This window comes from Homo sapiens, chromosome 2 (assembly GCF_000001405.40).
Source record: "Homo sapiens chromosome 2, GRCh38.p14 Primary Assembly".
Taxonomy (NCBI): Eukaryota; Metazoa; Chordata; class Mammalia; order Primates; family Hominidae; genus Homo; species Homo sapiens.
Window position 1 is genome coordinate 200553938 of NC_000002.12, and position 16415 is coordinate 200570352.

General features: G+C 37.4%; 1 protein-coding gene across 10 annotated transcripts in view; it reads left to right on the forward strand.

Moving 5' to 3' along the window:
* Nucleotides 1-16415, forward strand: part of SGO2 (shugoshin 2) — a 57955-nt gene that overhangs the window by 27796 nt on the left and 13744 nt on the right. For all 10 annotated transcript variants that reach the window (XM_017003452.3, XM_005246345.5, XM_005246344.5 and 7 more), the window contains one exon: nucleotides 15726-15955. In XM_017003452.3, coding sequence (XP_016858941.1) covers nucleotides 15726-15955 — 230 coding nt within the window. The remainder of the gene's footprint in view (nucleotides 1-15725; nucleotides 15956-16415) is intronic.

Sequence of the window (16415 nt, forward strand, 5' to 3'; positions counted from 1 at the left end):
GTTTTCCCAATGGGCCTTTATTGGCTCTCTAAGTCTAATTTGATTGCTTAAAGGAAAGCACACCATTCCAGTCAATGCCTTGGTAAAATAACCAGTTTTTCCAATTGTGTTCTGTTGCAAAAGAAAACAGATTCTTATTGTACTTATACAAACAACTATATTGCCATCAATTAAGAATATTCACAACTAGTTTTCAAATTCTAGAGAAATCAGGTAGAGAGAAACAAACATGCTCCAAATTTTGTTCACAGGAGTATACTGTACTCAATTTTTAAAAGCTGTAAATAGCTCAAAAGAAAAATTTTGTTGACACTGAAAAACTAAAGATCATCAACGTTTCAAGCAAAAAGCCAAAAAAGATTACTTCAGACTTACATTGGTTCAGTCCATGCAGTTAAATACTGTCCTATTTGATATTCATGAACATTTCCACTCTCCATGAGTACTGGAAGTTTTTTCCTCTATTCTAATGTCACAATCTCCAAAGTTACTAGAAACTTGCATTCAAGAGCACCTGTCAAAGTCCTATAGCTGATTATAAATTACCTTTTGAAGAGGATTAAAACAAGACAATTGTCTGTAGGTGACAAAAAGTCTTAGTTAGGACAACCATTATTAAAGCCACAATCGACAAGGAAATTTTGGTTTCTTCTATGACACACAACAATTTTACATAACAGTTATAATGATTAATAACATACACTAAGCCATATCAGAGTTACAGGAATTTTGCATAATTTTGGAACACATACCAGTAATATTTATATAAGCACAAAGAAAGGCAAACACTCACATTTGACAGTGCTTCCTGTAAGATTTTTATGCCAAATACGCCAAATTTCACCACTGCATTAGTGCATTATTTATGTCAAACTCAATTCTTAATAAAACCTTATACAAAAATGTATTCAATCTTAATCAGTTTGACCTTAAGGTAAGATTCTCAAACCTTTTACAACCCTTTATAAATTTTTTTTAAAGAGCAGATCAGTGCTCTAAGAAAAACCTGTTATGCTTTTATTCCAATGTTCAATTTATGGAAAGACAGAATAATACCCCTTTAATATGTTCTCACACACAACCTTTTTACAAGATTAATTTTTCACAAACCTCCACAACTTGCTCGAATCTTCAGCTTTATCCTATCTAATTTAAAACAATTCTTCAACCCTCTCAACAAGGCAAAAAGATATTCACATTCCCATGACTTTTTATAATCTTTTCCCAAAGATTAGTTAAGTCACATGAACTAAAAGGCATTACACTTTTTACTTTTCTGACAAAATGTTTTATTTAAGCGCTTATTATTTTTAAGCCAGTTAAAGCCCTTTTATATCACACACACCACACACATAAATACACAGACAAACAAAAGAAGATCCAGTAGTTGTAAGATTTTTCATTTGCTAGTTTTTAAGTTTCTATTTCAAGCATACACTTTCTAGGGCCTAATAAGCAGGCATAGCTGGAAGGCAAAATAAATCCCCCCAAATTAAGGGTCCCATTTTTATACCAGATCCTAGATCCCAAAAAATGAGAAATGCTACGGAACAAGACAGTACAATGATTTTACTGTGCATTTTTTACAAAGCAACCCAAAGCTAATCAGCCCATTCTGTGATTAGCCCATCCCCCAGGGGAATCTTATTTCTCAGTGGTAGTGGGAGGTAAGGACATTTCCATACCTTCCAGGTGGCCAAGAGCATGCTTTTCTGATCCAAACATGCAAACAGCCGAGTATCCCCACCATAACTGCCATTAGCTATCCCCAGAAGCATATTTCCTACCAAATTATTACACCCCAATGTTCTCTCATAATGCAAAGAATTTCTGATACCCCTGAAAGTCAAAAATATCAGATAACACAATGTGAAACAGAATAGAGCCTTAGATTTTGAGGGAGATCTATCAACTTTCAATTCCTGGGGTTTCATGAGGTAAATAGGTTTTTCCCAAAACAGGGTCTGTGGTGCCTCCTCTGTTTTCCCCAAGGAGTCTCAGGCTGTTAGAGCTTGAATATCCGCTTTTTTTGTTTGTTTGTTTTGAGACGGAGTCTCACTCTTGTCATCCAGGCTGGAGTGCAATGGTGCAATCTCGGCTCACTACAACCTCCACCTCCTGGGTTCAAGCAATTCTCCTGCCTCAGCCTCCTGAGTAGCTGGGATTACAGGCACCTGCCACCAAGCCTGGCTAATTTTTGTATTTTTAGTAGAGATGGGGTTTCATCATTGTTGGCCAGGCTGGTCTCGAACTCCTGACCTCAGGTGATCTGCCCACCTCAGCCTCCCAAAGTGCTGGGATTACAGGCATGAGCCACCGTGCTAAGTCGAATATCCGCTTTTAATTATCTACTGACTTTTAGTCATAGTGCTCTTTTAAAAAGTCCTTTTAAATCTCATTACCTGATTTTAGCCAGGCCAAACAGCCAATATTTCTCGCTTTTGAATTTTACCAAAGGTAACCTCCCAGGTGAAACCAATAAGCCTAAAGTTATGACTTAACCATAAGTTAATCATATGTACATGATATTTTCAAGGAGGTGGTAAGCAATTTTTATAAGATCTAGAATCTCCAAAGGTAGCTCAGAGAAAGGAAGATTCACGAAGGGAAGCCAGAAGTCATACATGGAGGGGAAGAGAATCAACAAATGATAAAGATCACACAGATATCAACCAGAAAGTACTCATTCCCTAAGCTGGGTATTGAACCCAAGCTGCCATAGTGAAAAGACAAAGCCTTCGCCAGTAAGCTACAGCATTGGGCAGTTTCCATTACCCTTCCCAGAAGGACCTTACAGCAGCCAATTTTGAGCTTGCAAAGGCTTTTAACTGCTCAAAACAATTTTTAGAGCTAACTATGATATCAACCCCAAAACTCCTGGCCGAGAGAGAGAGAGAGACAGAGACAGAGACAGAGAGACAGAGAGAGGGAGAGAGAGAGAGATTGCCTGTGGCAAAGTGGGGCAGGCAAAGAGTTCAGGGAAGCCAGAGAAAGACCCACTCATTGCAATGACACTGAATCAAAAGTTCAGGTGGCCATTTGTCAGTTGTGAAAGGATCTTTTCCAGCAGTCCTGTCAGCTCTCAGGTTTCCCCCTTTAGGGGAGGAAAAAGCTCCCCATGTCCCATGAACATGTATGTGCCTAATCCTGTCACCCACAGCCATCTGCAAACAGTGGAAGGCAAATTAATCCAAAGAGAAGAGTGGTTAATGTCCCATAATGCCAAATTTGTTCGTAGCCAAGAGGGACTTTACTGATGGGGGCCTCTAATCCCCTACATCTCAGAAGGGACTCTAACCCTCATAAGTTGGGCCTCAAACTGAAGTTTGGTGAAGCATCCTTGCCTTTTATTAAGAGGGGCCTTTAATCCACTCTGTCTTAGGAGAGACTAACTCCCCTAAGTTGGGCCTCTAACCCAATCCCATCCTTTACCTGGGCACCCCACCACTTACCCAAAGTTGGCCAATTGGTGCTGCAGTCTATTTCCTTTGGGTCAGGGGTCTCTTCAGTATCATCCCTTCATGGTTTGCCAAGAAGATGTTATTGGAAAGCGTCCTGATCCAGACCCCAAGAGAGGGTTCTTGGATCTCACACAAGAAAGAATTCAAGGCAAATCCTTAAAGTAAAAGCAAGTTTATTAGGAAAGTAAAGGAATAAGAAATGGCTACTCCATAGGCAGAGAAGCTCTGCTTTTTAAATTTAATTTTCTTCTTGATGTTAATATATAGCAATATGATTTTTGGATATTGACCTTGTTTCCAGTGACCTTGCTATTCTAATAGTTTGTGAATAAAATTTTACTATTTGTGAATAAGGGCAGTTTTATTCCCCCTAACCTCCTAATATATAGCTTTTCTTTTATTTGTTTGTTTGTTTGTTTTGTCCAGGTTTTGGCTTTTATTTTTTCTTACCTTGTTGCATTGGCTACTTTTTTTTTTTTTTTTTGAGACAGAGTCTCACTCTGTCACCAAGCTTGAGTGCAATGGCATGATCTCGGCTCACTGCAACCTCTGCCTCCTGGGTTCAAGCGATTCTCCTGCCTCAGCCTCCTGAGTAGCTGGGACTACAGGCATGCACCATCACACCCAGCTAATTTTTGTACTTTTAGTAGAGACAGGGTTTCACCATGTTGGCCAGGGTGGTCTCGATCTCTTGAACCTCGTGATCTGTCCACCTTCGCCTTCCAAAATGCTGGGATTACAGGTGTGAGCCACCGTGCCCGGCCAGCTACTTGTTAAATATTGAATAAAAGAAGTAAGAACAGGCATTCATATTGTATTCCCATTATTAAATATTGTATTCCTGTTATTAAATATGATGTCTGCTCTTGGGTTTTTGTAGATTCTCTTAATCAGATTATGAAAGTTTCTTTGTACTTTCAGTTTGCTGAGAGTTTTTCATGAATAACTACTGAATTTTATCAAACGCTTTTTCTGTCACTATTGAGTAGATACTAATTTTTTCTTTTTTCTATTAATGTTATGAATTTTTAAATATTTTTTATTCATATAATGAATTATAAGGATTTTTGAATGTTAAACCACAATTGCATTTCTACAATGAACTGCTCCTGATGAAGTATCCTTTTGATATGCCACAAAATTGTAATTGCTAATTTTAAAAAAATATTTTTGCATCATTTTACATCATTGTATGTTGATGAAAATGATGTATAATTTTTGTTTCTTGTAATAGATTTTGTCAGGTTTTTGTATTTATAGTATGCCGGTCACTGTAAATGAATTAAGTGCACCTCTTTTTCTGTTTTATGGCAGCATTTGTGTAGGATTTTTTTTTTTTTTTTAATGTTTAGAAGTTATCTGGGCCTGCTTGCAGTTTTCTTGTGGAAAAGGTTTTGGTAACATCTCTTTTTTTTTTTTTTGAGGTGGAGTTTCACTCCTGCAACCCAGGCTAGAGTGCAGTGGTGCGATCTTGGCTCACTGCAGCCTCTGCCTTCCGGGTTCAAGTGGTTCTCCTGTCTCAGCCTCCTGAGTAACTGGGATTACAGATGCTCGCCAACGCGCCCAGCTAAATTTTGTATATTTTATAGAGACAGGGTTTCGCCATGTTGGCCAGGTTGGTCTCGAACTCCTGACCTCAGGTGATCCACCTGCCTCGGCCTCCCAGTGTGCTGGGATTACAGGCATGAGCCACCATGCCTGGTGTAACATCTCATTTCTTTAATAGGTATAAGAATATTCAGATTTCTTATTTCTTCTTATGTTAGGTTTGTAAAATTTTTTTTAAAGAATTTGACCATTTCATCTAAAATTACTGGCATAAAATTGTCCATAATATTATCAAGTTATGTGCTTAATGTGTTTTGGGTATGTAGTGAGGTTCTCTTCTTCTTTCTCAGTATTGTTATTTGTGTTTCATCACTTTTTTTCTTAGTCTTGCTCTAGAGGTCTGTCAATTTTATTCATCTTTGTGAAGGTCTCATTTGGAGCTATGTTGTTGTTTTAGTATATTTGTTTTCTATTTCATTGATTCTGCTCTTTATTGTTTCTTTCTGTTTTGCTTTTCTTTTCATTATTATTATTACTCTTATTAGTTGCTTCTTGGGGTAGTTTAGATTATCAATTTTCAGCCTCTCTTTTAAAAAAATAAGCATTTAAGGTTATTTTCCTATAATCACTGCTTTAGCTGTGTTCCACAATTTTTATTTGTTTATTTTGTGATGAGTTCTCGTTGCCCAAGCTGGACTTGATTTCCTAGGTTCAAATGATCCTCCTGCTTTAGCCTCCTGAGTAGCTGGGACTACAGGCATACATCATCAGTCTTCTAGATTCACGGTTTTTGATATACCATATCATTATTTAGTTCAAGATTTTTTTTCCTGATTTTTTATTTGACCCTGTGGATCACTTACAAGTATATTGTTTAATTTCTAAGCTGATGGGTATTTTTATTTTTACTTTTTGTTGTTGATGTCTAGCTTAATTCTGCTATAATTAGGGACTATAGTTAAAATGAATTTCGATTTTTGAAGTATATTGGGAATTTCATTAGGACAAAGCTTGATCTAATTTGGTAATTATTTGGGGTGCACATGAAAAAAATGTGTAGTTTGCAATGGTTGAACGCAGTATTTTTATGTATGGCAGCTGTGTCTAGTTTGTTAATTATAGTCTTCCATATCCTTCCTGCTTCTGTTGTCTGTTTATTCTGTCAGTTATTGAGAGAAGTTTATTAAAGTCTACCATTATGATTATGAATTCATCTGTTTCTCCTTTTAGTTTTGTCAATTTTTGCTATATGTATTTTAAAGCTGTTATTAGGTACTCATACATTTAGGACTGATTTGTTTTTCTGATTTCTAGCAATGGTTCCTGCTTTGAAGTCTACTTTGTTTGTTATAATATTTCCATGATATATCTTTTTCTATACCCTTACTTTCAAATTCTATTATATTTAAAATGCTATATAAGTGAATCAGGTGTCATTTTATCATCTTCAGGTATCTATCTTTTTCTGTTGAAAAGTTAGCACCTTTCTTGCAAGCTGAAGAAGTTCCCTTTTTTCTGGTTTTCTGAGTTTTTATAATGATTTGTATTGAATTTTGTCAAATGATTTTTTTGCATTTCTAGAGAGAATCATTATTTTTTTCTTTGTTCTATTAATACAGTGACTTCAGTGGATTTTCTAATGCAAACTTTGCGTTCCTAAAAAAAAATTCCACTTCGTTATGATGTATTATTCTTTCTATATATTGCTGGGTTTGATTTGCTAATATTTTCTTTAAAATTCTTGTGCTATGTTCATAAGGGATATTGGTCTTTAATTTTCTTACAAAAACCATTGATGGGTTTTGACAAGGGTTATGCTGGCCTCATGGGATGAGAAGCATTTGTCTTCCTCAATTTTTGAAAGAGTTTGTACAATTGGTAGTTTTTCATTAATGTTTAATAGAATTCACAAGAGAAGTAATTTGGGCCTGGAGTTTTTAATTATGAATTTAATTTTTAAAATAGATATGGGGCTTTTCAAGTTTTTGGTTTCTTTTCAAGTCAATATAGAAAACGTTTGTCTTTCAAGAAAATCACACATCTCATCTAGTCAGTAAAGTTTATTGGTGTAAAGTTACTTATACTATGCTTTTCTTATTCTTTTTTTTATTATTATACTTTAAGTTCTAGGGTACATGTGCACAACGTGCAGGTTTGTTACATATGTATACATCTGCCATGTTGGTGTGCTGCACCCATTAACTCGTCATTTACATTAGGTATGTTTCCTAACGCTATCCCTCCCCTCTGCCCCCACCCAACGACAGGCCCTGGTGTGTGATGTTCCCCATCCTGTGTCCAAGTGTTCTCATTGTTCAATTCCCACCTATGAGTGAGAACATGCAGTGTTTGGTTTTCTGTCCTTGCAATAGTTTGCTGAGAATGATGGTTTCCAGCTTCATCCATGTCCCTACAAAGGACATGAACTCATCCTTTTTTATGGCTGCATAGTATTCCACGGTGTATATGTGCACATTTTCTTAACCCAGTCTATCATTGTTGGACATTTGGGTTGTATACATTTGGGTTGGTTCCAAGTCTTTGCTATTGTGAATAGTGCTGCAATAAACATACGTGTGCATGTGTCTTTATAGCAGCATGATTTATAATCCTTTGGGTATATACCCAGTAATGGGATGGCTGGGTCAAATGGTATTTCTAGTTCTAGATCCTTGAGGAATTGCCACCCTGTCTTCCACAATGGTTGAACTAGTTTACAGTCCCACCAACAGTGTAAAAGTGTTCCTATTTCTCCACATCCTCTCCAGCACCTGTTGTTTCCTGACTTTTTAATGATCGCCATTCTAACTGGTGTGAGATGGTATCTCATTGTGGTTTTGATTTGCATTTCTCTGATGGCCAGTGATGATGAGCATTTTTTCATGTGTCTGTTGGCTGCATAAATGTCTTCTTTTGAGAAGTGTCTGTTATCCTTCACCCACTTTTTGATGGGGTTGTTTGATTTTTTCTTGTAAATTTGTTTAAGTTCTTTGTAGATTCTGGATATTAGCCCTTTGTCAGATGAGTAGATTGCAAAAATTTTCTCCCATTTTGTAGGTTGCCTGTTCACTCTGATGGTAGTTTCTTTTGCTGTGCAGAAGCCCTTTAGTTTAATTAGATCCCACTTGTCAATTTTGGCTTTTGCTGCAATTGCTTTTGGTGTTTTAGTCATGAAGTCCTTGCCCATGCCTGTGGCCTGAATGGTATTGCCTAGGTTTTCTTCTAGGTTTTTTATGGTTTTAGGTCTAACATGTAAGTCTTTAATCCATCTTGAATTAATTTTTGTATAAGGTGTAAGGAGGGGATCCAGTTTCAGCTTTCTACATATGGCTAGCCAGTTTTCCCAGCACCATTTATTAAATAGGGAATCCTTTCCCCATTTCTTGTTTTTGTCAGGTTTGTCAAATATCAGATGGTTGTAGATGTGTGGTATTATTTTTGAGGGTTCTGTTCTGTTCCATTGGTCTATATCTCTGTTTTGGTACCAGTACCATGCTGTTTTGGTTGCTGTAGCCTTGTAGTATTGTTTGAAGTCAGGTAGCGTGATGCCTCCAGCTTTGTTCTTTTGGCTTAGGATTGTCTTGGCAATGCGGGCTCTTTTGTGTTTCCACATGAACTTTAAAGTAGGTTTTTCCAATTCTGTGAAGGAAGTCATTGGTAGCTTGATGGGGATGGCATTGAATCTATAAATTACCTTGGGCAGTATGGCCATTTTCACAATATTGATTCTTCCTACCCATGAGCATGGAATGTTCTTCCATTTGTTTGTGCCCTCTTTTATTTCATTGAGCAGTGGTTTGTAGTTCTCCTTGAAGAGGTCCTTCACATCCCTTGTAAGTTGGATTCCTAGGTATTTTATTCTCTTTGAAGCAATTGTGAATCATGAGTTCACTCATGATTTGGCTCTCTGTTTGTCTGTTATTGGTGTATAGGAATGCTTGTGATTTTTGCACATTGATTTTGTATCCTGAGACTTTGCTGAAGTTGCTTATCAGCTTAAGGAGATTTTGGGCTGAGACGATGAGGTTTTTTTAAATATACAATCATGTCATCTGCAAACAGTGACAATTTGACTTCCTCTTTTCCTAATTGAATACCCTGTATTTGTTTCTCCTGCCTGATTGCCCTGGCCAGAACTTCCAACACTATGTTGAATAGGAGTGGTGAGAGAGGGCATCCCTGTCTTATGCCAGTTTTCAAAGGGAATGCTTCCAGTTTTTGCCCATTCAAAACTGGAGGCTGTGGGTTTGTCATAAATGACTCTTATTATTTTGAGATACATCCCATCAATACCTAATTTATTGGGAGTTTTTAGCATGAAGGGCTGTTGAATTTTGTTAAAGGCCTTTTCTGCATCTATGGAGATAATCATGTGGTTTTTGTCTTTGGTTCTGTTTATATGCTGGATTACGTTTATTGATTTGCATATGTTGAACCAGCCTTGTATCCCAGGGATGAAGCCAACTTGATCATGGTGGATAAGCTTCTTGATGTGCTGCAGGATTTGGTTTGCCAGTATTTTATTAAGGATTCTTGCATCGATGTTCATCAGAGTTATTGGTCTAAAATTTTCTTTTTTTGTTGTGTCTCTGCCAGGCTTTGGTATCAGGATGATGCTGGCCTCATAAAATGAGTTAGGGAGGATTCCCTCTTTTTCTATTGATTGGAAGAGTTTCAGAAGGAATGGTACCAACTCCTCTTTGTACCTCTGGTAGAATTCAGCTGTGAATCCATCTGGTCCTGGACTTTTTTTGGTTGGTAGGCTATTAATTATTGCCTCAATTTCAGAACCTGTTATCGGTCTATTCAGGGATTCAACTTCTTCCTGGTTTAGTCTTGGGAGTGTGTATGTGTCCAGGAATTTATCCATTTCTTCTAGATTTTCTAGTTTATTTGCATAGAGGTGTTTGTAGTATTCTCTGATGGTAGTTTGTATTTCTGTGGGATCGGTGGTGATATCCCCTTTATCATTTTTTATTGCATCTATTTGATTCTTCTCTCTTTTCTTCTTTATTAGTCTTGCTAGCGGTCTATCAATTTTGTTGATCTTTTCAAAAAAACCAGCTCCTGGATTAATTGATTTTTTGAAGGGTTTCTTTGTGTCTCTATCTCCTTCAGTTCTGCTCTGATCTTAGTTATTGCTTGCCTTTTGCTAGCTTTTGAATGTGTTTGCTCTTGCTTCTCTAGTTCTTTTAATTGTGATGTTAGGGTGTCAATTTTAGATCTTTCCTGCTTTCTCTTGTGGGCATTTAGTGCTGTAAATTTCCCTCTAGACACTGCTTTAAATGTGTCCCAGAGATTCTGGTATGTTGTGCCTTTGTTGTCATTGGTTTCATAGAACATCTTTATTTCTGCCTTCATTTCGTTATGTACCCAGTAGTCATTCAGGAACAGATTGTTCAGTTTCCATGTAGTTGAGCAGTTTTGAGTGAGTTTCTCAATCCTGAGTTCTAGTTTGATTGCACTGTGGTCTGAGAGACAGTTTGTTGTGATTTCTGTTCTTTTACATTTGCTGAGGAGTGCTTTACTTCCAACTGTGTGGTCAATTTTGGAATAAGTGTGATGTGGTGCTGAGAAAAATATATATTCTGTTGATTTGGAGTGGAGAGTTCTGTAGATGTCTATTAGGTCTGCTTGGTGCAGAGCTGAATTCAATTCCTGGATATCCTTGTTAATTTTCTGTCTCATGGATCTGTCTAATGTTGACAGTAGGGTGTTAAAGTCTCCCTTTATTATTGTGTGGGAGTCTAAGTCTCTTTGTAGGTCTCTAAGGACTTGCTTTATGAATCTGGGTGCTCCTGTATTGGTTGCATATATATTTAGGATGGTTAGCTCTTCTTGTTGAATTGATCCCTTTACCATTATGTAATGGCCTTCTTTGTCTCTTTTGATCTTTGTTGGTTTAAAGTCTGTTTTATCAGAGACTAGGATTGCAACCCCTGCCTTTTTTTGTTTTCCATTTGCTTGGTAGATCTTCCTCCATCCCTTTATTTTGAGCCTATGTGTGTCGCTGCACATGAGATGGGTCTCCTGAATACAGCACACTGATGGGTCTTGACTCTTTATCCAATTTGCCAGTCTGTGTCTTTTAACCGGAGCATTTAGCCCATTTACATTTAAGGTTAATATTGTTATTTGTGAATTTGATCCTGTCATTATGATGTTTGCTGGTTATTTTACTTGTTAGTTGATGCAGTTTCTTCCTAGCATCAGTGGTCTTTACAATTTGGCATGTTTTTGCAGTGGCTGGTACCAGTTGTTCCTTTCAATGTTTAGCGCTTCCTTCAGGATCTCTTTTAGGGCAGTCCTGGTGGTGACAAAATCGCTCAGTATTTGCTTGTCTGTAAAGGATTTTATTTCTCCTTCACTTATGAAGCTTAGTTTGGCTGGATATGAAATTCTGGGTTGAAAATTCTTTTCTTTAAGAATGTTGAATATTGGCCCCCACTCTCTTCTGGCTTGTAGAGTTTCTGCTGAGAGTTCTGCTGTTAGTCTAATGGGCTTCCCTTTGTGAGTAACCCAACCTTTCTCTCTGGCTGCCCTTAACATTTTTTCCTTCATTTCAACTTTGGTGAATCTGACAATTATGTGTCTTGGAGTTGCTCTTCTCAAGGAGTATCTTTGTGGCATTCTCTGTATTTCCTAAATTTGAATGTTGGCCTGCCTTGCTAGGCTGGGGAAGTTTTCCTGGATAATATCCGGAAGAGTGTTTTCCAACTTGGTTCCATTCTCCCCGTCACTTTCAGGTACACCAGTCAGACGTAGATTTGGTCTTTTCACATAGTCCCATATTTCTTGGAGGCTTTATTCATTTCTTTATACTCTTTTTTTCTCTAAACTTCTCTTCTTGCTTCATTTCATTCATTTGATCTTCAATCACTGATACCCTTTCTTCCAGTTGATCAAATCAGCTACTGAAGCTTGTGCATGCATCACATAGTTCTCATGCCATGGTTTTCAGCTCCATCAGGTCATTTAAGGTCTTCTCTATGCTGTTTATTCTAGTTAGCCATTTGTCTAATCTGTTTTCAAGGGTTTTAGCTTCTTTGCGATGGGTTTGAACATCCTCCTTTAGCTCGGAGAAGTTTGTTATTACAGATCGTCTAAAACCTTCTTCTCTCCACTCATCAAAGTCATTCTCCATTCAGCTTTGTTCCGTGGCTGGCAAGGAGCTGCATTCCTTTTGAGGGGAAGAGGTGCTCTAATTTTTAGAATTTTCAGCTTTCTGCTCTGGTTTCTCCCCATCTTTGTGGTTTTATCTGCCTTTGGTGTTTGACGATGGTGACGTACAGATGGGGTTTTGGTGTGGATGTCCTTTCTCTTTGTTAGTTTTCCTTCTTACAGTCAGGACTCTCAGCTGCAAGTCTGTTGGAGTATGCTGGAGGTCCACTCCAGACCCTGTTTGCCTGGGTATCACCAGTGGAGGCTGCAGAACAGCAAATATTGCAGAATGGCAAATGTTGCTGTCTGATCGTTCCTCTGGAAGCTTCATCTCAGAGGGGCACTCGGCCATATGAGGTGTCAGTCGGTCCCTACTGGGAGGTGTCTCCCAGTTAGGCTACTCAGGGGTCAGGGACCCACTTGAGGCGATAGTCTGTCCATTCTCAGATCTCAAACCCTGGGCTGGGGGAACGACTATTCTCTTCAAAGCTGTCAGACAGGGACGTTTAAGTCTGCAGAAATTTCTGCTGCCTTTTGTTCAGCTATGCCCTCCGCCAGAGGTGGAGTCTACAGAGGCAGTCAGGCCTCCTTGAGCCGCAGGGTGCTCCACCGGCTTCAAGCTTCCTAGCCGCTTTGTTTACCTACTCAAGCCTCAGCAATGGCGGGCACCCGTCCCCCCAGCCTGGCTGCTGCCTTGCAGTTCAACCTCAGACTGCTGTGCTAGCAAGAGCGAGGCTCCGTGGGCGTGGGACCCTCTGAGCCAGGCGCCGGATATAATCTCCTGGTGTGCCATTTGCTAAGACTGTTGGAAAAGCACAGTATTAGGGTGGGAGTGACCCAATTTTCCAGGTGCTGTGTGTCAAGGCTTCCCTTGGCTAGGAAAGGGAATTCCCTGACCCCTTGCACTTCCCAGGTGAGGCGATGCCTTGCAGTGCTTCAGTTCACACTCCGTGGGCTGCACCCACTGTCCTGTACCAACTCTCCAACAAGCCCCACTGAGATGAACCTGGTACCTCAGTTGGAAATGCAGAAATCACCCGTCTTCTGCATCGTTCATGCTGGGTGCTATAGACTGGAGCTGTTCCTATTTGGTCATCTTGGAACCTCTCTTATTCTTTTAATGCCTGTAGCATCTGTAGTGAGAACCTTTCTTTCCTGATTTTTGTAATTTGTATGTTTAATCAAACTAGCTAGAGGTGTGTCAGTTTTATTGTTCATTTAACAAACTCAGCTTTTGGCTTCATTGATTTTATTTTTCTCAATTTTATGTTTTATATTTCATTGGTGTCTATTTTTAAATTATTTCCTTTCTTGTATTTACTTTTAAAAACATAGAGATATATAATTCACTTAACATAAAATTTCTTATCACATGAAATTCACCCTTTTAAAGTATACAGTGCAGTGGTTTTAGTATATTCACAAAGCTTTGAATCTTCACCCTGTTCATTTCTAAAATATTTCAATCTCTAAAAGGGAATCTCATATCTATAAGCAGTCTCCATTCTCCACCCCCCTAGCCCCTAACAACTGCTAATCTACTTTCTGTCTAAATGGATTTGGCCATTTTGGATATTTCATATGAATGGAATCATAAAATATGTGGCCTTTTGTGTCTGGCTTTTTTCACTTAGCATATTGTTTTCAAGGTTCATTCATGTTGTAGCACATATGAGCATTTCATTACTTTTTATGGAGAGACAATAATTCTGTTGTGTGGATATACCATGTTTTGTTTATCCATTCATCAATCAATGGACATTTGTATTGTTTCCACTTTTTGGCTATTATGAATAATGCTGCAATAAACATTCATGTACAAATTTTTGTGTGGACATACATTTTCAGTTCTCTTGAATATATGCCTAGCAGTGGAATTGCTGGGTCATCTGGTAACTCCGTGTTTAACTTTTGGAGAAACTGCCAAATTGTTTTTCCAAGCTTCTGCACCATTTTACATTCCCGCCAGCACAGTATTTTGACACTGATTTCTCCATCTCCTCACCAACACTTGTTAATAATTATCTATTCTTGTGAGTATAGCCATCTAGGAGTATGAAGTAGTATTGCATCATGGTTTTTATTTGTAGTTCCCTATTAATTAATGATGTCAAGTATATTTTTATGTACTTATTGGCCATTTGCGTATCAAGATCATTCTCTTTTGATTATCTTTTCCATGTGAGTTTAAATCATGTTTTTCTATTGCTTCATATATTGGATAATATTAGATTGCACCTGGGTATTGTGTATCCCTTGTTGGAGAAAATGTAGATTCAGTTATGCTCACCCAAAGAGTTTTGATGTTTCAATTTTAATAGGCACTAACCTTGTCTGAACCCAAAATAAGCAACATCTGAAATCTCATTTTAGTTGTTTTATCCTTAGATAGCTGCTTCGAATCTTCCTCATATATATGGGATTCAGAGGTCAGCTAGATATTTGGGGAGCATTTATACACAAAATTTGGGGCTCTCCTCTTTACCTCTCTTATCTGACATTTCCCCCCATCACTTCACAGCTGTTATAGTTGCCCTGAATTCTAACCTTGAACCAATAAGACTGTAGGTTTCCAACTTTTTTTGAATGTGGCACCAGCTGAGGCTGTAAAACAATGGGAAACTCACTCTTCTTCCAAGTGTTGGCACCCCCTTCGCTAGCTCTCTACTTGCTTTTTGTCCATTCACTGACTTCTAGTAGTTGTTTTTTAAAATATTTTGTCCAGAATTTATAGTCATTATGTTAGGTAGGGTTGGTCTGATAGTAACTTTTAGCCATTACCAGAAGCAGAACCTCTCCGTTTATTTTTGTTAACTTGTTTCCTCAAGTGGTATAGAAATTTCCTCCCAACAGCTATTCTACTGGTAGTTGCCTTTAAATTTCTCATAAATATTTATCAGAAATATTTTATTTTTCTTATTATAAATTATTTTAAAATATCTGTGATTTCCTTGGAATACAAGACAGCTCTTTACTGTTTGTGGACGATATTACTCTTCATTCTTTGAATTCAAATATGTCAGTGTATCAAATTATTTCTGTGGGTTTCTGTCAGTTTTCTTCCCATAGATTTAATTACTCTAGGAATAATGATTTTAGTGTACTTGGATGCCTTTTGGAAACATAGCAAACTTATTTCACACATAATTTTATAAACAATTACATTTGCTAGAAACCAAAGGAAGATTTTTGGGTATTACATAGAATTAAAATTTTATGAAAAGTATAAATATTATACATGGCTGTTTGTAAGTACATTTGAACTTTTTTCATTTGCTTAATAGTAGTCTTCTAATAGCACAAGAAGTAAATATATAAATTATCTTCTTTTGGGGCCACTGTGACTAAGGGGTTAAGAAGCATTCATGTTTCCTTCCAAGTTCTGTTCTAGTAGGAACTACTCATTTCCTACCTTTAAGTGTCTTCATTGAACTTGAAAAAGTACCAGGTGGATTTGTGGTTCGATCTTAAATAGAATATAGAAATAACTGCCCATGCATTTAAAGAAAATTTATAAAACACATAATTTCTCATTTCCTTCCCACTTGCCTTTAGGGTTCCATTAACTTCAAATGATGATGAAGATGAAGATAAAGAGAAAATGCAGTGTGACAACAATATTAAATCAAAGACATTACCTGATATTCCCTCTTCAGGATCAACAACACAACCTTTATCAACTCAGGATAATTCGGAAGTGTTATTTCTTAAAGAAAATAATCAAAATGTATATGGTTTAGATGATTCAGAACATATTTCTTCTATAGTTGATGTACCTCCCAGAGGTGAGATTGTTTTAAAAATTCATTTTGAGTATTTGTATTAGTTACATTCATCAGATGTTCTTCCTGAGGGCAATTATGTATAACAGTTAATAAGTTAGCTCTCTTATGTTACCGATTTGCTAACTTCTGCCATTTAAAACTGCTGGTGATAGATTTAATTTTAAAGTAAATATGCTGACAAACATCACACCCACAGTGGCCTAATACTGTTACTCTGGAAGAAATATTTAGAAATAAATGGACCTAATGAGCTTTTCTCAATATCTTAGCTTATGATTTGAAAGATACCATATATTTACTTAGTTTTACCCTCTTTTTTTGTAGATATGAAAATTGGGGGCCTAGATAGGTATAGAGACTCTTTGAAGATCATCACCAGTTAATTAATGGTAAAGCAAAAACTTGAGTCTGGGTAATGGTTGAGCAAGAAAAAAGATGGCATTTACATTTTATTTACATA